This window comes from Homo sapiens, chromosome 6 (genome assembly GCF_000001405.40).
Source record: "Homo sapiens chromosome 6, GRCh38.p14 Primary Assembly".
Taxonomy (NCBI): domain Eukaryota; kingdom Metazoa; phylum Chordata; class Mammalia; order Primates; family Hominidae; genus Homo; species Homo sapiens.
In genome coordinates, this window is record NC_000006.12 from 159,940,818 (window position 1) to 159,964,652 (window position 23,835).

General features: G+C 43.5%; 1 annotated feature.

The window, feature by feature from the left end:
- Window positions 951–1,070: an enhancer, noted in NCBI's record as "active region_25396". NCBI's record gives its function as "activates an Ori minimal core promoter by ATAC-STARR-seq in GM12878 lymphoblastoid cells {active_cell/tissue: GM12878}" and the evidence as "EXISTENCE:reporter gene assay evidence [ECO:0000049][PMID:35858748]".

Consider the following 23,835-nt stretch of genomic DNA (forward strand, 5'->3'; position numbering starts at 1 on the left):
TTGGTGGTATGCGCCTGTAATCCCAGCTCCTCAGGAGGCTGAGGCAGGAGAATCACTTGAACCCGGGAGGTGGAGATTGCAGTGAGCCAAGATCGTGCCACTGTACACCAGCCTGGGCGACAGAGCAAGACTCAGTCTCAAAAAATAAATAAATAAATAAATAAAAATAAAAATAGTTTGTCTCATAGGGTTGTTGTGAAAATTAAAGCAGTCAGTACTTAGAGCAATGCCTGGAATACTGTGAGTCTTCTGTAAATGACGTTTATTTTGTCACACTGGAGTCAGGGGAGCTTGTCTGCCCTTCTTCCTGGGCTCCTGGTTCCTTCAGGCTCTACCCAGGAAAGGTGGCTCTTGGGCTTCTGATCTTTTCTCTTCAAAATGATCCGGGGATTCTAGGGATGGAGAGGGCAGGGCTTCCATCTTTAGAGAGGTCTAGCTCCAGAAATCTTCATCCAGACTTGGGGAGAAAGTGCAAGAGAAGAAAGCCTTGCTACTCCTTGTCGTGCATTCTCCGAAAAAAATACATTCAAAAATATCTCCACCAGTCTTTCAAAATGCAAGGCCAATTACTACCCCTTTTCTGTCTGCGTTCTACCATCCTTTGAATGAGCCACAGGTGGGGGTGCCCTGGGTGACTGCATGTGGGTGGCTCAAGGACACAGGGAAATGGAGGGGGAAGCCCTGACTAACAGGTCCAAATGTTAACTTCCATCTGGTTCTCTGTGGGCTAAGAGGAGGCACCTAGTGCTAAGAAGCTGCCAGCAGAAGATGCCCTGGCAGCCTGACCACCCACAAGTCCTGACACTCGGATGGCCGCAGTCCACTCCTCCTGCAGGAGACAGGACCTACTGTGTTAGAGTCTCTGGTGGCAGGTGCTCGGGAGATGGGCATCACCTGTCGTGTAACACCCTTTGCAAAGACCGGGAGACATGGTGAGGATGGCCTGAAAGTCAAGTCAACTTCTATTCCATTTTCTCCTGGGGACGTGCAATGTGCTCTAAGGGCAGCCTAGTGGGTAGGCTACCAATGTTTTGGAAGATAATTCAAACTGAAAACGTTATATTGAAGCACGATGTCATTCTGCCATCTTGTGGCAGTATCATTCTCTGGATTCTGTGGTGATTGTGGTCTGTGGCTGTTAGAGATGTGGACTTACCCTGATGAGGACAAGTGCTTAGCCCTGCATGATGTCTTACTAACTACCATTAGGCTTTCTATGAAGAATGGATTATTTAAATAGGAAATCTATCATTAAGATGAATCTTTGAGGTGTATGAAACTTCAAATATTCATTTAGCAAATATTTATCTTCCTATATGCATGGAGCAATCCTAGGCTCTGGTGAAAAATGTGTAATTATAGTCTCCGTCTTCAATGAGCTTCAATGAGCTAGAGAATAAGGACAGTTTTCACACATACCTGTAATACAAGGCAAAAAGAAATAAATGTGTGTTATATGAGGAGCTCTGGATAAATGGAAAGAAGTTAACAGCACTGGACACTGGGAAGGGTGATGAAGAAAGTGGTGTTTGAGTCCAGGGAGTCACTGAATATCTTTGAGTAAAGGAGGGACATAAGAAAATCTGTGTGGCAGGAAGGTCACTGGGCTACTAGCTACTAGAGCAGTGATCCGCAAACTTTTTGATCAAGCACCTCTAACAAACCAACCAACCAAACCAACTAAGTGAGCATGCAACCAAACCAAAGCATTTTACTTAAGAATATAAACATTTATGGATCTAGCATGTACAAATTAAGATGTATATTAAAATAAAGAGATTAAAGTGATTTAAAAAAATAGTAGCCCAAGTATTTTCTTCTTGCATCCTATTGGATGTCCGGGTCCCCTGACTTTGAAGATTGCTGTTGTAGACCAGTTTGGGCAGGAAAATAGGGAAAAGAGAATCAGAAAGACCCTCGCAGGCCATGATGATAGTGATAGCGCAGACGAGAGATCACCTGGACCCAGGTAAGGTGGAGATGCAGGCAATGTAAGGTAATGGACAGACACTCAGAGACAGAAGTAGAGAATTGCCAGGAGCTTAGGGAGAGGGAACTGTTCAAGGTCATTCTGGGTTTGAGGTTTTGTTTTGTTTTAAAGTCTTACGCTATTGGAAAGATGAGGATTCATTTTAGAGAGAGTACAGGGGTAAAAGGCAGGTTTGTGAAGAAGATGGTGAGTTTGTTTTGTATAAGGTGAGGTTTTTGCACCAGTGAAATCTGTTTGTCTGTCCCCAGAAATCTGGAGATTTAGGACTGGACTCAGAAAAGGAGTCCCGAATGGAGCAGTGTCATCTGATTCAGATGTGATGTCAAACTTCAGGAATGTGTGAGGACACCCAGGGCAAGAGTACAGAGTGAGAAGAAAACAGAGCCAAGGACGAACCCACAAGGACACTGGCATCTAAGCGTGTTGTAGCTCAGGGTTCCTTGAGAAGTAGACTATGAGATAGAAACTTATGAGCAGGAAGTGTATTGGGGAGTGTTCCAGAATCAACAACCGTAAGGAGGGAGGATTGCTGGATTGGGTGGAGAAAGAAGTGGAAGTCTGATGTGGTTTCAACAGAGGCCTCAGCTGATCTCGTGAGGAGCTCTGAAATGAGGAGGGCCCTTCGAGGGATGGCTGTGGTGCGCTGAACTGGGTCCCCTGGTTCCCACCAGCTGGATTCCTGAGTCAGCTGTGTGGATCTCCTCCCAACTCCTCATTCAGTGATGTCAGGTTGATCTTGACATTGGCACAGTGGGAATATTTACACCATGAAAATTGCCCAATATTACAAACCAGGGCTTCCCCCATCCACCAGGAACAACTTGTTAAATATGTACCAGTATACACATTTATGTCCCTAATGAAGAGGGGAACTAAGTCTCTGCATCTTTTCATAAACTGATCATTGGATGCAGGCTGCCCCTGAGGAGAAGATGTTACTTTGGATGGGGTAGCCGCTTTCAGCTGAGGACTGTACCTAGAGAAGAACATAGCTGTGAAGCATAAAACATTTCCTAAATCTGGAGAAATTAGTGTCTTTGAATGTGAAGGGTGAATATGAACAACATACCACAGCATCCACTACAGCCTACCTTTTGCCCAACTGCTTCATATAGTGATTTAATCTCATCTAGAAACAGCTACTTCAGGATCTTAGTTACTCTCTTTTCCTGGGTAAATTTATGACAGTAATATTGGTTGCTATGGTTTGAATGTCCTTCTCCAAACTCATGTTAAAATTTAATTGCCGTTATGACAGTATTAAGAGGTGGGACCTTTAAGGAGCTATTAGGTCATGAGGGCTCTGCCCTCATAAATGGATCAATGCTGTTATTGCAGAAGTGGTTTTGCTATTGCAGGCATTCAGCCCTCTTCCTCTTTTTCTTTACACTCACTCACCCTCCCACTTTCTGCCATGGGGTGACACAGAAGGCCCTCACCAAATGTGGGCCACTTGACCTTGGACTTCCCAGCTTCCAGAACTGTGAGAAATAAATCTCTGCTCCTTATAAATTACCTAGTCTGTGGTATTCCATTATACCAGCAGAAAACAAAACAAAAAGAAAATTGGTACCAGGAGTGGGGTTGTTGCTGTAACAAATATCTGAAAAGTGGAAGTGGCTTTGGAACTGGATAATGGGTAGAGGCTGGAAGAATTGGGAGGAGAAGGCTAGAAAAAGCCTACAATGCCATTAATGGCAAATCTGGTGAGGGCGCAGAAGAAGACCCCAGAACTACAGACAGCCTAAATCTTAGAGATTACTTAAGTGATTGTGATCAGAATGTTGGTATAAACAAGGATAGTAAAGGCCATTCTGATATCTCAGATGGTATTGGGAACTGGAGTAAAGGCCATCCCTGTTATATGGTTGCAAAGAACTTTGCAGGATTATGTTCTTGTCCTAGGACTTTATGGAATACAGAATGTAAGAGTAATGAGCTAAGATATTTGGTAGAAGAAACTTCTAAGCAACAGAGAATCAGGCTGCTGTGTAGCTACTTTTAAACACATCCAGTGAGATGTGAGAGGCCAGAAATGACTTAAAGACAGACTTTTGTAATGAAAAGAAAAGAAGAATGGAAAGATTTCAGAAATTTGCAGCCTGGCTATGTGAAGAGTAGAAAGGTGTGTTTGGGAGAGCAAATCAAGGGTATGGTCAAGCAATTGTTTGCTTAAGAGATTAGTATGAACAGGAAGGAAGCCAGGTGCTATTCATCAATACAATGGGAGAAATACCTCAAAGGCATTTCAAAGATCTTTGAGGTTGTCCCTCCCATCACAGGCCTAGGGCATCTAGGAGGGCAGAATGGTTTCAGAGGACAGGCCAGGGCACTGTCCATGGGTTCACTGGCCAGGGCCACTTCAGGACTCTGCTCTCTGCATTCCAATATAATACCCCTCATCTGTCCCAGCTGTGGCTCAAGCAGGCTCAGGTGCAGCTTGGACTCCACAAGGTGCAAGCAGTAAACCTTGGTGGCATTCACATGGTGTTAAGTCTGCAGGCTTACAGAAGAAAGAGATATGGGAACATAGCAACCTTCACTTAGGTTTCAAAGAATGTTCAGACAACATGGGGGCCCAGGCAGAAACTTGTTTCAGGGGTAGAGCTACCACAGAGATTTCCTACTAAGGCAATGCCTAGTGAAGCCATTGGAACAAGGCCAGCCCTGAGAGTCCTCACAAGGGTAATGCCTGATGGGAATGGCATCACCATTGAGACTCCAGAACTGTAGCTACCAGTGTGCGACACCAGCCTGGGAGAGCTGCAGTCATGAGACTCCAACCTGAGAGAGCCGAAGTGTAGACTGAGCCCAGCAAAGCCATGTGGGTGAGGCTGCCTGAGGCCTTAGGGGCTCAATCTCTCACCCAGTGTGCTCTCTGTCTTGCATGCTCATTCACCCTTTCATCTTCTGCTATTAGGTGATACAGCAAGAAGGCCTTCACCAGATGCTGACACCTTGATTTGGGATTGCCCTAATGTAGCATTCCCAGCCTCGAGAACTGTAAGAAATGAATTTCTTTTCTTTATAAATTACCCAGTCTGTGGTATTCTGTTATAGCAGCATAAAACAGTCCAAGACATTAGTCTCCTTTGCTGCAGGTGAGGCCACAATCACTATTCATCATCTCTCTCCTTTAGTAGCTATTCTAGATCTCCCTCCCACTCAGCCAGCACCTGTGCTGGTCTGGTAACCTTACATGACCCTGGTAGGGTGATCTAAACCCTCATCTCTAGGGGTTGGAAATCTTGGTAATCATGCCCTTCTCAGGCTGTGGCTGCTGCATCATGTCTAATCGCTATTAGAATTGGGCAAAGAAATACCAAGAGACACCCTCATGAACTGCCAGTGTACAAATATGTTCTTCCACGACCCCGACGTGTGAGGGCAGACCCTGCTGCTGGTCTGATGAATCCTTTCCTTTGCAGCTGCTCTCTTGGCACCAAGAGACATGATGGCAGCTGTGGCCCCAGTGAAAGCGTTCCTTTTCTGGGAGCCAGGGCCTCTCACCCCACAAATACAGAATCCTCCTGGAGTTCATTCATCCAAACTTTAGGAAGTGTGTTCCATGCACAGTGCTCTTCAGGCTACGAGAAAATGAGCCTGGGTTCTGTTTGGCGGGAGGTGAACCATTAGGAACCATTGGACTCAGAACAGAACCCATTGAAATATGCCCCAAAGTGTTGCCTGTGGTGAGTGGAGATTCTCTTCTCTCACTAACTAAGAAGACTAAGAGAAGAGAAGCCTGAAAAATGTGATTTCTTCTGTCTCAGCAGGGCCTGGTCGGGAGTCACTGGGCCCCCTCTAGAATTAACATCACTGCATGTAAACATTAGGGACAGTATTTTTTTTTTAAATCCTGCCTAGGTATAATGTTTTCTTTTCCATTAGTAAGTAAAGCATATTCTCTTAAGTAAGCTATGCCATGGATAATATGGAATTTTTGTTATAAGCCTTTCCCATTCATCATACTCCCCAACACTGTTTTAGATCTTCCAGTCCTGGTTTTCGGATAATTCCAGGTGCACTATCTCAGAGGTATAAAAATTCCCAAAATGAAATTAATTTTAATTCATTTAAAATGCCACACCACACAGCTATTAAGGATGGAGAAGATTAGAGAGGAAAGAGGAAAATTATCTGCACAAACCAGAGAAAGATGCCATCATTCCCAAAATACTGGGAATGATAACACACTGCTTTGTAGTCCCTAATTGCAATTTCCCAGGGGGTGCTATTTTTAACTCTGTGGCTGAATTGTTGATTCTTTAATGCTTCTCCTGACTTTCCATGGTGTTTACCACAACTAAGGAATGGTAAGGGGCTGGCGAATAACAAATGATGAATGGAATCACTTGATTCTTACCTGAGAAAAGGTCACAGAGAACTTCCTATATGAACTTGATTTTCAGCTCTGTGATGAATAGGCCACGATAGATTATCCTACAGTATGACCCAATCTTGATGTTAGGCCATGTAACAAATGTCTAATCTAAAAATTTCCTCCTGGCATTTATCTCTCATTTCTCTCTCTGTGCTTAGGAAAAGTGGAAAATAATCACTCATTGGAAATTATCTTCTCATTCATTGATTTATTAACTATTTCAATGAATTCCTCATACATGTATTACGCTAGGCATTTGCATATAATCTCGTGAATCAAACATATAAATAAACAAGTAACTATAAAGTGTGAAATGCTATAAACTTAAGAAAAAAAAAAAGAATGTTGAGATAAAGAATGAGATGTGCCCAGAATAACTATTTAACCCAATTGCAACTGACCTCACCAAATCTGAGAAGGAGCTGGTATGGGAAATACCATTTTTTCTAGAAGAAACTGTACACACATAAACCCCAAGGTAGGAAAGAGCTTGGCAAGTGTGCCTGTCAAAAAGGAGACCCAGTAGGACAAAAGCTTGGTTAGAGATGGAGAGGTGGAACCAGAGTCTTAAAGGCCTGAGGCCAGAGTTTGGATTAATTTACAAATGCAAAGGAAACAATTACAATAATTTTAGCAGGAGATCGACAGTAACCCACAAAAGCCATAAATTCCCCCATCCACAAACTCAGGTGTGCAGAAATGTGACTTCTCTAAAACTGAATTCAACTTAGCCAACAACTTTTTTTTCTTCTGATGGAGGAGATCTATGTCTTGCCATGCTTCAATTGTCTCCAGTTTACTAGAGTTTCTTTTGAGAAACCACTCAGCTAACCCAAGATTCTTTCCAGCCTCTCCCCTTCTTCCTTTCATCCCAGGTGGTGCCTGGGTTCAGGTGAGATGACTACAAAGGGACCTGAAATAAGCCTCCAGAGATACCCCTCTTTTGCCAACAATTAGGGCCTTGGTGCCAACACAAACATGCCTATGCTCACTCAGCCTCGCCAGGTGAGCGGGAATCTCTGTGGAGTCTCCTTTCAGATTTTGAATCTCCCTGATTTTTGGTTTGAGATTCAAACTTTACTCAACTGACCTGACTTCACACCTGACAGGGCTGGAACTGAAGTTCTGTTTTAAAGCTTTAAGGTGGGAGCTTCGCTTGTTAATCTCTAGAAATTCTGCTGACTGCGGGTTTGTGATTTTCACTTTTCTCTGAGGTTCAGGTATTGTGTGTCTTACTCATTAAAGTTTACAACCTTTTCTCTTGGTCAAAGAGAAAACAGTTTTCTCTGAAAAGAGAAAGTGATATCCTTGTGGCTTAAGTGAAAAATTTGTAATCTGTAAAACTGGTGGGATTCTGCGACTTAGTGCAATTGACAGATCTAAAATTTCTTCTTGAGTGACTGAAATTCCTCCCACTAGGTCTTTTTGGTCTTTCAAAGGAAAATCTAAATTATGGACAATTATACTACTAAAGGAGAGATGTGCCTTTAGAAATACTGCCTGGATGCATGTGCAATACTAATAATACCTCTTCATTCATATAGTCACAAAAATGGTCTCACATAACTTATGAAGACCCCAAGTTACAATGGCCAAAATGGGGTATCTTTAAAATACCTAAAGTAGTTTATCTGTGCACTCAATCAGAAAATGCTGTTTGAAATAAAACAAAATAACGTATAGAGCTATCTTCAATGTACTTAGAAGCTTCTAGGCCAGGTGTGATAGCTCACACCTGTAATCCCAGGATTTTGGGAGGCTGAGGTGGAAGGATCACTTAAGCCCAGGAGTTCAAGACCAGCCTGGGCAACATAGTGAGACTCCATCTCTATTTTACAAAGCTTCTAATAAAGTCTTTTATTTGCAAGAGGAAAACATTTGTCTACAACAATTTCTGAATTGAAAAAAGACTGCCAAAATTGATTTTCAGTTAGGTTCTCTTTAGGGAACATGTTTTCCTTTTGGTTCCCTCAGCTCCCATCCACCTGACAGGCAGAGACTTTTAGAAATTATACAACACACCTATCTCTTTCTCCCCAAAGGGGGACAGTTATCCCGTGTGGTTGTTAATAAATTGCATGCCATTTCCCCCATTAATCTGTTTTTGTGAGTTGATTTTTTTCAGCGAACATTCAGAGGGTGAGGGGAAAGTTTTCCCATGGCCCCTGCAGCTTTAGCGCTATGAGCAGAGTACCTAACCTGCTCTGCTCTAAGCCACAGTGAAGGGAACCCAGGACCTGACAGGCCAGCAGAAGGGTAAGAACGTCTTACCAGCCAGCCTCCCTGTCTTTCATTTTGTGGAATCTGGTTGAGCGGACAGTAAAACCATGTTTGTCTCTTTTTCCTCTGCAAAATGTTGGCTAATGAGAGGAAAGGATTTGTATGACTAGTCTTGGGTATAGCAATCTTGGTGTACTTCTTGGTACACATATGGGATCGAGTTGCTCTTAGAATAAGTACATCATTAAAAATTCTAATCATCAGTGGTCACGAGATGGATCCTTTGAATTATAATAACATATATATATATATATATATATATGTATATATGATCTCTCATTCTAAACAAATTGCCTATTTGTACTTATGGGAAGATCAGATTTTTTTTTTCTTTTGAGACTGAATCTTGCTCTGCCACCAGGCTGCTGGACTGCAATGGCATGATCTCGGCTCACTGCAACCCCCGCCTCCCAGGTTCAAGCGATCCTCCTGCCTCAACCCCCCAGGTAGCTGGGATTACAGCCACCTGCCACCATGCCTGGCTAATTTTTGTATTTTTAGCAGAGACGGGGTTTCACCATGTTGGCCAGGCTGGTCTCAAACTCCTGACCTCAGGTGATCCACCTGCCTTGGCCTCCCAAAGTGTTGGGATTACAGGCGTGAGCCAATGTGCCCAGCCGAGATCAGATTTTCTAAAAGACACATAATGGTATCATGGCCAGCTTTAGAAATTCTCTTCACAAAAGTAAAGAGCAAAAATTTGACCAAAAACAAAGTTAAAATCCTTTGTAAGCTCAAGGTGCCTGCTTCAGATGCCCTGTGGGATTCACAGTGAAAGCTGCTCCACCTGGAATTCTGGAAGGTGAAATCCTGTACCTTCACTGCCATGGCCTTAGTCAGAGAACCATCCCTTTGGTTTGGTATTTTGGTGACTTTTGGCTTTGGGGATACCTGTTTGTTATTGACCCTGTTCCCTTTCATGGACAGCTTTTAGTTTCTCGTCTTTCCATTGGTGAGACACAGGGGGCCTTCGGGCCTTCAGGCCTTCATGTGTAGGTGCTCAGCTGCCCACAAAGCCGGACAGAATGTGAGTTGTACGCCATTTGTGGTTAGTGAAACTATCCTTTCATTGAGCTGTCTTTGGGGTGGTTCTGAATCTTGTGAGGACTGCTTTGCCCCTCTTCGGAGACACCTCATGAGTTCTTGATTAAATTACAACCTTGGTTAAGGCTTATTGGTTTTGGTAATTCACTTGGGAGGGTACTTGGGTGAAAAAAAAAAAAAAGCTCAAAAGCCAGGAATCTCATCTGTTTGTCTCAGCAATAATCTGATAATAAGAGATTTTTAAAAGAGTTTTTAAAAAGGAGCTGTGGCCAGGTGCAGTGGCTTACACCTGTTGTCCCAGCACTCTGGGAGGCTGAGGTGAGAGGATTGCTTGAACCCAGGAGTTTGAGACCAGCCTGGGTAACACAGTGAGATCTGTCTCAAAAAAAAATTTAAAAATTAGCCTCGCGTGGTGGTGCGTGCTAGTGGTCCCACCTACTCAGGAGGCTGAGCGGGAAGGATCACTTGAGACTGGGAGATTGAAGTTGCAGTGAGCTGATTGTGTCACTGCACTCCAGCCTGGGTGACAGAGTGAGACCCTGTCAAACAAAACAAAACAAACAAAAAACTCCACGGTCAAAGTTGGCTGAATTAAAAGCTGATTTTCAAGCCCCTGCTTCTTCTTGCTGTCTTTAGTAGCATATGAAGGAATCTAGAGAGGAATTCTAGTGACTCAGGCCCCTAAAAAAACACAGAAAAAAGTGCCATCCACCCCCTTTCTGGGATCTTCTGTCTTCCCGTGGAGTCTGAGGAGTCGTGGACAGGTAGCTTCCTCTCAGGCCTAAAGCTCGGCTTTCTTTTGCATTGCATGACCTGATCTCTTTGGCTTCTAGGGTACCAGGGATCACTTTGTACTGTGAGAGAACCACCTTTGTGTGTTCGTATTCAGGGCAACTTGAAGCTATGCTCCTGGGTGTCCATTCTCAACCATTGTGCTTGAATAAACTTTTAAAACCAGATTCTGACCTTTTTGATTATTTTAGGCTGATACCTCTGAAGACGTGCACTGCCCTGCAAGACATACATTATTATTGGGGCAACTTTGTTAGTCCTCTTCATCCCAGTCGGGAGAGCCCCTTCGGGACCACTGGCCCCCAAGCTACTGTAGCCATGTCCTTGCCGCCCTGATCCCCGCACCCTGCGAAGCTTCTCTCAAGCCCATCTACCAGAGCATGTACCTCAGGACTGCTGCTACCCAACCACTCAGGTGCCCTGTGGGCCTGGGAATTCTCTTTCGGTTTTGCAGCTTCAATGGCTAAGCGCTCTTGAGTTTTCCTGAAGTTTCTGTCTGGTGTTTATGCTCCTCACTCAGCCCTGGAAGGTAAGGGGCTGGACTCCTTCCCCGGGACCTTCCTGTATCCACACTCCGAATGTCCCTCAGGATCCCTCATCACACTTACAGGATGCACGCTGCCTTTCGGGTGGAAAATGGCTCTGATCTTTATACACATTTCCCACTCTGAAGGTGGAGTTTCCCCATTCCCCAGGGGGATGTGTAACTCTCTGCACTTTCCTGCTGGGAGTTAAACACTGCTTCTGTCGTTTCCCCTCCTCCTGCCCAACCTTCTTCCCCAGGAAGTTTACTTCCACAAGCACCTTCATCTTCTGTTCTAGGGGGATTTTGGAGCATTTGGGGCCCTCGGGTGATGGATTGGAAAGTCTTGAGGCACAGGCTGAGTCAACTAAAACCAGTGGATTGTCAGACAACAGGCCAGGCATCCTCCCCAACAGCAGCTAGAAGTGGGTCTCTGCCAGCCGGTTCCTTCACTCCTTTCAAACACGGGGCTGCCTGACCCTGGCTCTGCGCTCTCTCAATCTTTTGCTTTCCTCTAGAACAGACCTCTTCCTCCCATCCTCCTCCTGTACCAGTGCTAGGAGCAGCAAACCTGCTCTGTGAATCTGCATCTGAATCTTCTTACCTGGCCTTGAGGCTTGTGGCTTCTGGGCCGAATACCAAGTATTTGCCAACACTCAGGGGCCCTCGGGTTACAAGTGAAGGACTTTGGGGCAGCGTGGGATTGAAGAGCTGAGCGGGGAAATTCACTGACAAAAGCTTTGAAAACCTGATTCTAAAGCATCCAAACACTATAAAATGTGCCCGGAGGCTGCAGTGTAGGTGCAGCATAGAGAAAGGCAGAAGGTCATCAGGAGGCTGGAGCTGATGGGGACCTGGCCTGGGGGCGGCTTTGGAGTCTGGAAAGATCAGAACTATAATGAATTGTTTTGGATGCGGAGACTCTGGTGTCCTGTGTGTGCTCTAAGTTAAGGACCTTATTCATCATTTCAAGGACCTCGGAGACTAGTTCTGCATATTTGTGGGATTTATAAATCCTGTTTCAGTCTGTACACCTTTTTCGACCTTTCAGGGTCATCGGCTTTTGTTTTTGTTCTGCCAAGGACTAGCCAGGCCACAGAAATCTTGATGAATGGCAACAGCAAGGCAAAGAAAGCAGCTGTCTTCTATCGACACACCCAGGATCCACCTTGTCTCCTGAACAGTCATCCCCACGGGGAGACCCCCAGAAGGGGTTCCACTTACAAATGATTAAACAGTTAATGACACCTGGGAGTGTGCATTTGCTATTCATTTGTAAAATGGGTCTGATTTCTCTCCTAGCCTAAAGCTGGCAAGTTCCAGTGATGGGAACCCCTGAGCCTGATTCGCCATGGCAGAGGCCACACAAGCTGCCTTCCTCATTCACCAAAAAGGCGAGATTTGCTGGAGGGACGCCAAGGTCAGTGGGGGGACACACTCCCGGTGCCATGTGCCTCCCGCCAAGATTTCCTGTCCCTTTGATGGCAAATCTGCCCCCGTCGTGTGAACAATCACACCATCTGCATGGAGTCTGTGGGACAGAAAATGTACAGCAATAATCCATATATAATGAGTCCCCCTTCACTGCCCCCAGCCTTTGCAACTTCCGTGACCACAATTCCTATAGTACACTCTTGGGAAACAGGAAATCCTTGTAAGAGCTGCACAGTAATCACACTGGAGCTATTTCACAAACTCAAGAACTGAATTGCTTAACAGCAAAGCACAGCTTTTTTTTTTTTAAGGTGCAAAATCAAACGCAGAGCCCAGGGGCAGTTAGAAACAGCTGCCTTTCAGGGACCATTTTCTGGAGTAGCAGCCTGTAACCAAAGACTTTTTTTTAACCTAATGAGATTGATACTTCCATGAGAGTGTCTATAGGCCTGGCATGGTGGGAAGACGTTGTTCCTGCTTGTTTGGCAACAGTTATTTTTTAGGACAGTTGGCAGGACCGACTTAAACAGACCTGTCAGAAAAATGTATCATAAAATCAAAGGGCACCCTCTTGCTGCTCAAATGGTTTTCTCACAAAGATAACGAGGGTGGTGGAGTGACTTATGGATATGGTGAGATGATGTCAAGTGATGCTAAGTGCAGGTAGCCACAGAAGCATCCAGGTCCGAGGTTCCCAAACCTTTTGGTTTCAGCACCACTTTGCACTCTTAAAATCAAAGAGATTTTTTAAAATGTGAGTTGTATCTGTTGATATTTACCATAGTCAAGATTATAATGGAGAAAATATAAACACACAGGAATACTCAAGCCTGTGTGCCATTAGCGGAGAGGTGACATCATTACACATCAGATTGCCTCTGGGAAACAACACTGCTCACATACGTGCAAATGACAGTGAAGAAAGCGAAAGGTGTCTTGCAGTATTATAAAAATAGCTTTGACCTCACAGATGCTTTGAAAGGGTCCCATGGCCCCTGAGGGTCCCCAGAGCACACTTTCCTATGTCAGTCAGCATCCAGCACTCCAGGCTGGGCAACATAGTGAAATGCCATCTCTGAAAGAAAAAAAAAATTAGCTGGGCGTGGTGGCACACAACTGTAATTTCAGCTACTTGGGAGGCTGAGGTGAGAGGATACCTTGAGCCAAGGAGTTTGAGGCTGCAGTGAGCTATGATTGCACCACAGCCTTCCAGCCTGGGTGACAGACTGAGACTCTCTCTAAAAAATAATAATAGTAACTTTTAAAAATATATTTTAAAAACTCAAACATCTAGCACATGAATGTTGTTACATGCTTGGCCTTGTACTAGGTCCTGGGGAAGACACACAAAATAATATGATGTAGGGACCAAAAAGAATATAAAATGTAGCCCCTGCCTTTGAGCACACTGAAATAAATGCAAAAAATGGAAAACTGCCTAGTGATGCAAGCTGGTATACAGTAAGTGCCAAATGAGAGTCAGAGCTAAGGTGTATCCCTGGCATTTGGAATAGCAGTCCCTAGGGCCTAAGTGGGGCAAGCCAGGTGTCTTGGAGAAGGACAGTTTTGTGCTGGGCTTGAAGGAAAGATAGTTGGTTTATGGGAAAGAATGGAATTGGCATCAGAAACTAGGATTCCCCTGGGTCCCAGTTCTGTCATTAATCAAACGTGTGAACTGGAGCCCATTATGACTTCCCCGGGTGCAAAAGCAGCTGTGACATTTCCAGGTTGCTGATCCTAGCTTGAGTTCACCCCTCTCCCTGGCAGACGGCTTGCTGTCTCTTTGCTCACTCATGGTCCAATGTGTACCTCCCCAGGGCCCTGCATACCTCCCCAAGAGTGGCATGTCCCACCCTTGAACTCAATGCCGCGGCCATTAGCACTGGATAAGCACAAACTCCTGACAGATACACACTTCCCATTGTTTCCACACTGAGTGGTCCTCTCTGTAAAGGCCTTTGATGTCTTGCGGACCTGGATCTCAGTCCAGGCCCCTCTACTTCCTTGTTCTATAACCTTAGGCAAGTTGCTTAGCTGCTTGGAACCTCAATTTGTTTATGTGTGAAATTAAGGGAATAATACCTTACAGCGTTGTGGGGAGAGTTGATTGTCAATCTCTCAATCCAAGACACAGTCCAAAGTGGGGACTTTCAAGTTAGAGCTGCAATTCATCATCCATCTCTGGTAGGCTGTACATACAACATAGTTGCAAGCAACACAAGTTATGAAATATAATATTGGATTAACTGATTTATTTGTTTCAAATTTTAAATCACCACAGAACTGGGTCATCATGGAAAGATAAAAAAGAAATAGAAAAACAAATACTACTGATCCTACTAAACCTCCCCAAGAAGAGAAAATAAGAGAAAGAGAAAAAGACTATGAGTGCTGTAACTTTACAAGGTTTTAGACACTTTTCGATTTTCATAAGTAATCACAAATCCTTATTTATACCTTTCTTGATACTGCGGAATATTACTTATGAGGACTAGTAATACCCAGTATGCAATGATTTACTCAGAAGCAGAAGTTGGAAAGTCACAGAAGACCTATTTTTGATTCCAGGCCCACATTCCTCGAACCGAACTTTACCAATTGCTATTTTCCAGAAAAGAAACATAAAAAGGTAGGAAGGAAGGGAGAATGGAAGCAAGGAAGAAAGGAGGAAGGAAGGGAGGAAAAAAGAAAAAAAGGAAGGAAGGAAGAAAGAGAAAGAAAAGAAAAGGAGAAAGTTAGGAAGGGAGAAAGGAAGGAAAGAAGGATGGAAAATAAAGAGAAGAAAAGGAGAAAGGAAGGAAAGAAGGAAGGAAGGAAAGAAGGAAGAAAAGAGAGGAGGAAGGAAGGAAAAAGGGAAGGAAGAAAAGAGAGAAGGAAGGAAGGAAAAAGGGAAGGAAGGAAAGAGGGAAGGAAGGAAGGAAGGAAAGAAGGGAGTGAGTGAGGGAGGGAGGGAAGGAGGGATGGAGGGAAGGAAGGAAGGAAAGAAAGAAAGGAAGAGAAACTGCCCTGTATGGCCCTTCACCTACCCCTGCAGGGGTCATTAGGATACTGCTACTTCATCACTTTCACAGGTTAATAATTACTGTTGTTTTCTTTCCCCTGAGTTTTATCTTATGTGGGTTGGGAAACTCTAGCTAAGAGAAGTGATAGTTTGTGATCTTTTTTGATTATTAAGGAGGATGAAGCGTTTTCACTTTCAATGGAATATGTGTATCAAAGGCATGTGCATACATACAGTTAATTTGACTGAGACCCAGGGACGACTTGGGAGGTAGTTGGCGATTATTTCACTATTACTGAGTTGTACTGGTAGAGTTTTATAACTTGCATGCCATGATCACACAAATTTTTCCATTTAGATCTCATAACTACCCTTGGAATAAGGTTTTCACTTAGGATGCCTTTAGCCAAAATAACAGATGACCCAATTCAGAGTTAATAAAGAGAAGCTGGAAAATTTTTTAGCTTACATAAGAATTCCAGAGGAAGATTCCTCTCTGCCATTCTCGCCATCAGATTTGTCCTAAGGCTGGTAGTATAGAGCTAGTCCTAGCTGGGCCTATCTGCTTCCTTGTCCAGGCCCAGCTTAGAGAGAGGCCAGCTTTGTGAAGCAGCATTTTCTTAAGAGCCAGGACGCTGATTTCCCAGAAGCCACCAGTAATCCTCTGCTCATGTCTCATGGGCACAGAATGGCTTAGGCAGGCCTGTTTCTATACTAATATGGCCCAGGGGATAGACATCTTGATTGGCTTAGACTCATTAGTTGGGGTAAATAGATATTGAGCAGTCAGCTACAATGTCCTCTACATATGTCATTTTCTAGATCAGAGGTTGGCAAGTTGTAGCCTTTGCACCAAATCTGGCCAGCTGCCTGTTTTGTAAATAAAATTTTATTGGAACACAGCCACATTCATATGATTATGTATTGTTTATACCTGTTTTTGTGCTAGGATCACAGATTGACTGGTTGTGACAGAGACCATATGGTTCACAAAGCCTAACATGTGTATTATCTGTCCCTCTACAGAAAGTTTGTTGACCGTTGTTCGAGATGAAGAAAGTGGAGTTGAGGTTAAACAACCTGTCCAGCGTCAAAGAGCTGGTAGGCAGAGGCTACAGTCTAAGCCAGAGGCCCAAAGCTCTCTCTGCTACCAGCTCCACTGGGAGAATTTCTTGGGATAGGCTTGCATGTTTTGTGATGTGTGCCAATGCTGCCTTTTACACAGAGCAACACTGACGTAGGCCTGCTGAAATTAATATGTCCATAGTGACGAATTTAGTTCTTAGGAACTGAAATTCTACATGCTAATGTGGATAGAGGGATAAGGAGGGGCATGAGAAAATGAAAAGGATATTTTATAATTTATCATAAAACACTGGACGCTCCATTTTTAAAAGACACACAAACATCAACTGGAATAAGATTTAAAAATTTTAATAAGCACTGGCATGAAATTACACATTTTCTTTCTTTCTTTCTTTTTTTTTTTTGAGGCAGAGTCTTACTCTGTCATCCAGGCTGGAGTGCAGTGGTGCAATCTTGGCTCAATGCAACCTCTGCCTCCCGGGTTCAAGCGATTCTCCTGCCTCAGCCTCCCAGTAGGTGGGATTACAGGCACACACCACCATGCCCGGCTAATTTTTGTCTTTTTAGTAGGGGTTTCGCTATGTTGTCCAGGCTGGTCTTGAACTCCTGACCTCAGGTGATCTGCCCACCTCGGCCTCCCAAAGTGCTGGGATTATAGGCATAAGCCACCATGCCCTGCTGAAATTACAGATTTTCAACAGATAACTTCACATAGATTGAAATGTTGATTCATGTTTACTTTGATGAGTTTAATTCACAGAAAGTTTTTAAAATGAAGAACATGAAATGAACATAGTATTCACAAAAAAGGACACACCTGTAATATCTGTTTTTCCTTTATTATGCAGTCAATCCCTGCTCCCCAAGTGTACTTCTTCAGCCCCTCACCTACCCCTCATCTTTCTGCAGTAGTTTGTCTCCAAGGTGGCCCAAGTCCCTCTAGCCTTCTAGAATTCATACCCCCATAGAGTTTCCTCCTACATCATCTAAGAGTTGGTCTATGACCAATAGAATATGGCTGGCATGATGGCGTGCAATGTCTTAAAAGGCATCACAGAGTCTACCTTGGTTTCCTGACTTGCTTGCTCTGGGGAAATTCAGTCGCCGTGCTGTGAGGGTGCTCAGGCAGCCCTGTGGAGAGCCCCCTTGGAGAGGCACCAAGGCCCCCCACCAGCAGATTCAGTAACTTGCCAGCCATGTGACTGAGTTCATGGGAAGCAGTCCCTTCAGCCCTAGTCAAGCCTTCAGATGATGGCAACCTTGGCTCACCAAAGATGGTGTGAGAGATAATAAGTGCTTATTGTTATTTTTAGTCGTCATGTTTTGGGGGTAATTTGTTATGCTGCCATAGGTAACTAATACTGACATGCTTGCCTCGTCACATGATACTCTTTTTCTTTCATTTTTGGTCAAAAGTGATGGTGGAAGAAAGAGGCAGGCAGGTCAGAAGGAAGTTAGGGATGAAATGAAGGACAAAAAAGGAGGCTAAAAAGATGTCAAATGAAGGGAAAAGAAGGGGAAAAAAAAGAGTCCCAGATATTTCAGAATAGCACATGTTCAATTCTTCTGATAACAGTAACAATAGGTAGCTTTTATTGAGCACTTACTAGGTGCTTGGCACTGTGGTGGTATCTATAAGCACATTTTCTTTAAGGGATCAAGGGTTCTATTTTTTTACTAAAAATATGCACCTTAGAGGGAGGAAGTAATAAATATGAGGGATAAAAGCTGGACAATAGAGAACATTGCAAATAAGGCTATACAGAAAAAAATTACATGGAACTTTAAAATTTGGTAAGGAAAGGGGAAAGAAAAGATCTATGTGTGTATTATGGATATGAAAAAGATATTCTTCCTCTTTTCCTTCTTTTAGTCATTTTTCATTCATTCAATAAATATTTGTTTTAGGTACTAGGATCCAGCATTGAGCAAAACACAGTAATAGAGCTTGCACTCTGGGGCCATTTCCTCTTTTTCAGAGGATGGCATCACCAAATAGTCATGGTGCCAGAAACCTGAGAGTCATCCTAATTCCTCTTTCTCCCCACCTCTACCATCATCAATGCTGGGGTCCTGGCAAGTTCCTCTTGCTGTTCTCTGTCCCATTGCTGCTACCTCTCCTTCACTGGGCATTCATCATTTCTCCCCAGCTGCACCCATTTCCCACGGCTGCTGCAACAATGTGCCACGAACTGGGTGGCTTTGAACAACTGACATTTATTGTCTCACAGGTCTAGAGGCGGAAGTCCAAAATCAAGGTCTGAGTAGGGCCATGCTTCCTCTGAAGGGGAAGAATTTGCTCCAGGCCTCTCTCCTGGATCCCAGGAGTTCCTTGGCTTGTGCAAGCCCAACTCCAGTCTTCACATGGCACTCTCCCTGTGCACGTGCCCGCCTCATTACGTGATGCTCTTTTTATAGGGACACCTGTTATGTGGGATTAAGGACCCTCTCTAGAATCACCTCATCTGAACTATTACATGTGTAACAACCCCATTTCCAAATAAGGTCACATTCTGGGTTACTAGAGATTAAGACCTCAACATCTTGGGGGGAGTGGTCACAATTGAACCCATACCACCTGGGTTATGGCACAGTCTATCAGCCCACATATCTTGAATCCCTACCTCTAGTAATCCCCTCACTACTCCCCACATCTGTCCGGCACATGGTGGTCAGTGTGATCTGCCTAAAATGAAAACTGGATCATGTGATTACTCAGCTAAAAAGCCTCTCAAGTTTCATTTATCTTTAGCAAAGCACAAAGTTCCTTAAAACCTGCCCTGTGCTTCCCTCACTAGCTCCATCTCCCTAACTGTTTCACTTTTACTTGTATTTTAGCCACAAAGAACCAGACACATTTCCCAGAATCTGTCACAGGCCCCATTCCAAGGCAAGCTTCCTCTCATTTTCATGCTGTTTTTTTTAAAACTAAGTTCCCTACCCCGCCCCCGACCTTTGCCAAACACTCCCCCTTACAAGACTCAGCTTAAATCATTTGCTTTGGGAATTCCTCTCAGATTCCTCCAGACTGAGTTAGAATTAGAGGTGTTCTCTGTTTCCCTTAATTATCAACCTACTCATCACGCTGAGTTATAAATAATCTATTTGTCTCTCTTTTTAAAACTGTCAGTCCCTCCAGGGAGGGATTATGCATCCCTTGTCTTTGTATTCCTGTGCCTTCTTGTCTTTGCATCCCTAGTGCCAAGTATATTATTGTCTTAGTCTGTTTGTGGAGCTATAACAGAATACCCGAGACTGGGTCATTTATAAAGAACAGAAATGTATTAGCTTACAGTCCTGGAGGCCGTGAAGTCCAAGAGCATGGTGCCAGCATCGGGTGAGGGCCCTCTTACTGCATCATCCCACGGCTTAAGGCAGAAAAGCAAGAGAGAGTGAGCGCAAAAGATTAAGAGGCCAAACTTGCAGCCTCTAGCCCTTTTATAATTGGTGTTATTCCATTCATGAGGGTGACAGCCTCATGACCTAAACACCTCTCATTAGGCCCCATCTCCCAACACTATCGTATTGTGGTTTAAGTTTCCAACATATGAACTTTGGGAGAGTTCATATGTTAGCAACTTAACATATGAACATAGCATGTATCAATTAAAAATAAGTATTCAGTATATGTTTGTTGAACTCACTTTACTGTCTTCTCTTTGAACTGTGCCTTTTGCAGAGTGCAAGTAGAAGAGAGAAAGGTGGTGGTTCGATAAGCCACCTTGTTCTTGTAGTTTCGTGAGAGAACTTAAACTAAATCTTTCAAATACGGATCTAATGGGTTTTATTTATTCTGAGCTCTTTGACTCGGCTGGTATGGAACTTTAAAAATAAGGAAACTGAGGCACACAACTTGAGTTAGATAATGGTTTGTTTAAAAGGACACCGTACATTTCCCTGTCTTCTCACTTACACGAGGCGGTCTTGGCTCCCCAGCTGGAGAACTTAAGTAATGAATGTCTGTAATTAATCTGGGGACTTTTCTTGTAAACACCAACCTAAAAGTGATATTTTTGGTGGTATTGTTCACATCACTGCCACCACCATCATTTCCACATGTGCTTCTCATAACTGAGCTCCACACAGTCTCCAAATGGTAATTCACCAAAACTTTCTCTTTCCTCTTGGCTCCTGTAAATCCCCTTGGTTCTCTTTCTATGTCTCTGCTCCTTTTCTAGAGAATTTTCTCTTAATCATAACTGTGGTGCTCTTCAAGTGTGGCAAGTTGTGCTTTCCAAAGATAGCCACACCTGGATATTTATTCTGTTTCACATGTTCTTCTTATGATGTGAGTAGCCCTCCCCCATTGAGAGCTAGAGTCTAGGTTTCCTCTTTTTGAAGCTGGGTAGGGCTTGGTGACTGTCCTGATCACAATGGCAAAATTGGTGTCCTGTGATCCAAGAATGAGTCATAAGAAGGATGTAGCTTCCACCTCGCTTACTCTTCCTTCTCTCTCCTTTTGCTTGACTTGGAACCCAGCTACCACAGCTGAAGAAACTCCGGCCACATGTGGAGGCTATATGCAGGCATTCCAGCTAAGGTCTCAGCTGACAGCCAGCACCAACCATCAAATGTGCAAGTGAAAATCTTTCAGATGATACCAGTTTCCATCCTTCAAGTCTTAAAGCTGAGGGCCCAGAAGTCTTAAAACAGAAATGAGCCATTCCGACTGGACCCTGTCTAAATTCCTGACCCCATTAATTCTCACTAGTGAGAATTAATAAATGATGGTTGTTGTGTTACACCACTGGATTTGAGGGTAATTTATTACACACTGATAGACAGTTAATACTAAGAGCCTATTTTCTCTTTTGTTCTCTCCCTGGCAATTTCTTTCACTATGCCAATGTCTTGTTATCCTTCTCATCACCTTCCTCCCAAGTCAACTCTCCCATCTTTGCAAGTGCCTCCCCATAATTACATTCAATGCAGGCTTCCTGCCTGTGTTCAGTGTTGCATTACCAGTTGTCTAGTGGTCACCTCTGAATACCTAGACTTGCTATTGCACAAAAAGATACTTAGCGTCTTGCTCCTCAGATTCATTTCTCTTCTGTTTTCTCTGTTCTCTGGAACCAATCTACCTGTCTACAAGCGTTGATCATCATTGACTCTTTCTTTCCTGTCTGTCCTACCCAACAGGTTGCTAAGTGCTGCATTGGGTCAGTTGGTATGATTTTGGCTGCAAGAAATACAAAAGTTAGCTAATCATGGTGTGGCATTTTGGGGCCAATCAGGAGGTAGAAACAGGGGAGTCTTAATATAAATAATTACTAACTATGATGAAGGAGTAACTGTAAGATGTAAGAAAACTCTACATAGTCCCTCAGGCTGACGGAGAGGACTCAAGGAATGACAAGCCTTCAGATCTGAAGGCATTCAGATTTCATGGGAAAAGGTTTGTTTCCATTTATTGGATAGCAGACTGGCCAGGCTGGAGCTGGCCTGCACTAGTATGCAAGTTGGGGAGCAGGTGGTCAGCACCTCATGGTATGGATGTCCTGGGAACAGCAGGAGAATCTCTTCTGCAGTTTGCCTCCAGTGTCCTCTGCTCAGAAAGCTTAATGTCATTTAGTTGAAAGGAGAACTGCTTAAATGGATTCCTTTATCACAGAGCATATACTAGAAGATGCATTCAAAGCAGAGAGGCAATACATTAATAACACATGCACTTGGCTTAGGCATATTTATTTATTCTATCACAAAACAAAAGATCGGATACAAGAGTTTTGGTGAAGTGGACCAGTGTCATTCAGGATCCTGATGTCTTCCGTCTTGTTCCCACTGTGTTGGCCACATTTTCCCTCACAGTTATGAGGGGACAGCAGTTTCATATAGAAATTACTGCATCCAGACAACAAAAAAACACAAAAGGGGAAGGGATTTCTGTTTTGCAACTCTTTTTATTGGAGAGAAAGCATTTTGCAGAAGATCTCAGGAGACTTCCCATCGAGTTCCATCATCAGGACTGGGTCATACGCCCTTGCTCTGGCTGTAAGAATGTCTGGGAAGTGAGAATCTCACACCCACAGCCTCTGGTGGAGGTGGGCTTTGCCAGCAATCAAGGGCATGAGATGCCTGCAGGAAGGCAGCCAACCACACCTGCCTCATGCCTCTAACCCTATTCCCCTCTAAATTCCCATGCCAAAGCCTTAGGGCATTATCTTTGATAGTTACCTGGCCAGGTGTTAACTAACTGGGAACTGGGTGTTTTTGAAGGACACAAGGCTTTCTGCTGTCGAATTTGTCACCTTAATTGTGATACTTTTAATAAATTAGCTTCCAGTCTATCTTAAAACCAGATGGATTTTCCTGATGTGTCACCGTGAACATCTCTCTTTCTCCAAATCTCTCAATGAGGAGGCAGTTGATGAGTTAACTGCATGGGCTTTGGTCCCAGATCATACAGCTCACATCCAAGCGCTGTCACTTACCAACTGCATGACCTTGGGCAAGGTATATAATTTCTTTATGACTGAATTGCTCATCTTTTCAAGGAGGGTAATAAAATTACCTATTTGGTGGGATTGGTATTAACAGTAAATGATATAATACAGGAATGGTATTGACAGTGAGCCTTCAGTATGTATTATTGTATCTGCTGTTATTGTTCCCTACTTCATATCCAGCCAAATCTAAGCTTATTAGATGACCATTTAAGATCCTCTAGGAGCTGGGCACAATAAAAATTTTCAAACTTATATAAAAATTGACTACGTCCTAAACTGCGAGCTCCTTGAGGGAGGGATTATATTTTATGAGCCCAGGATCTAGCACAGTTTTTGGCCAAAAGTAGTTTTTCTTTATTCCCATGTGACTTTTGCTTAAGCAAAAGGCCTTGTACAGCAAATACAGCTTCTGTATTTTACCATGGCCTTGCACTTGCTGTTCTTTGTGCCTACAATGTCCTTTCCCTAAATTTCCCCCATTCTTCCAGATTCACTCAAAAGCAATCTCTTTCATGATGAGATCTCTTTCCCAATTCTCATTTTGAAAAATGTCAAACCTATAGAAAAGTTGAAAGAATAGTACAAGAGCACTGATATATTCTTCACTACATTTGTGACTGTTAATATTTTTAACCTCTGCTTGCTATTCATACATATATTCTTTTTTTCCCCTGAAATCATTTGAAAGTTGCCAACATCATGACACTTCACTTTCAGCATGTATCACATAAGAACAAGCACATCGTCCTATGTAATCACAGTAGCTTTATCTTATGAAATTTAACATTGATTCAATATTATTTACTGTACATTTTTTCTTGGCAGTTTATGATCTTAGAAATCAAGAAGCCTAAA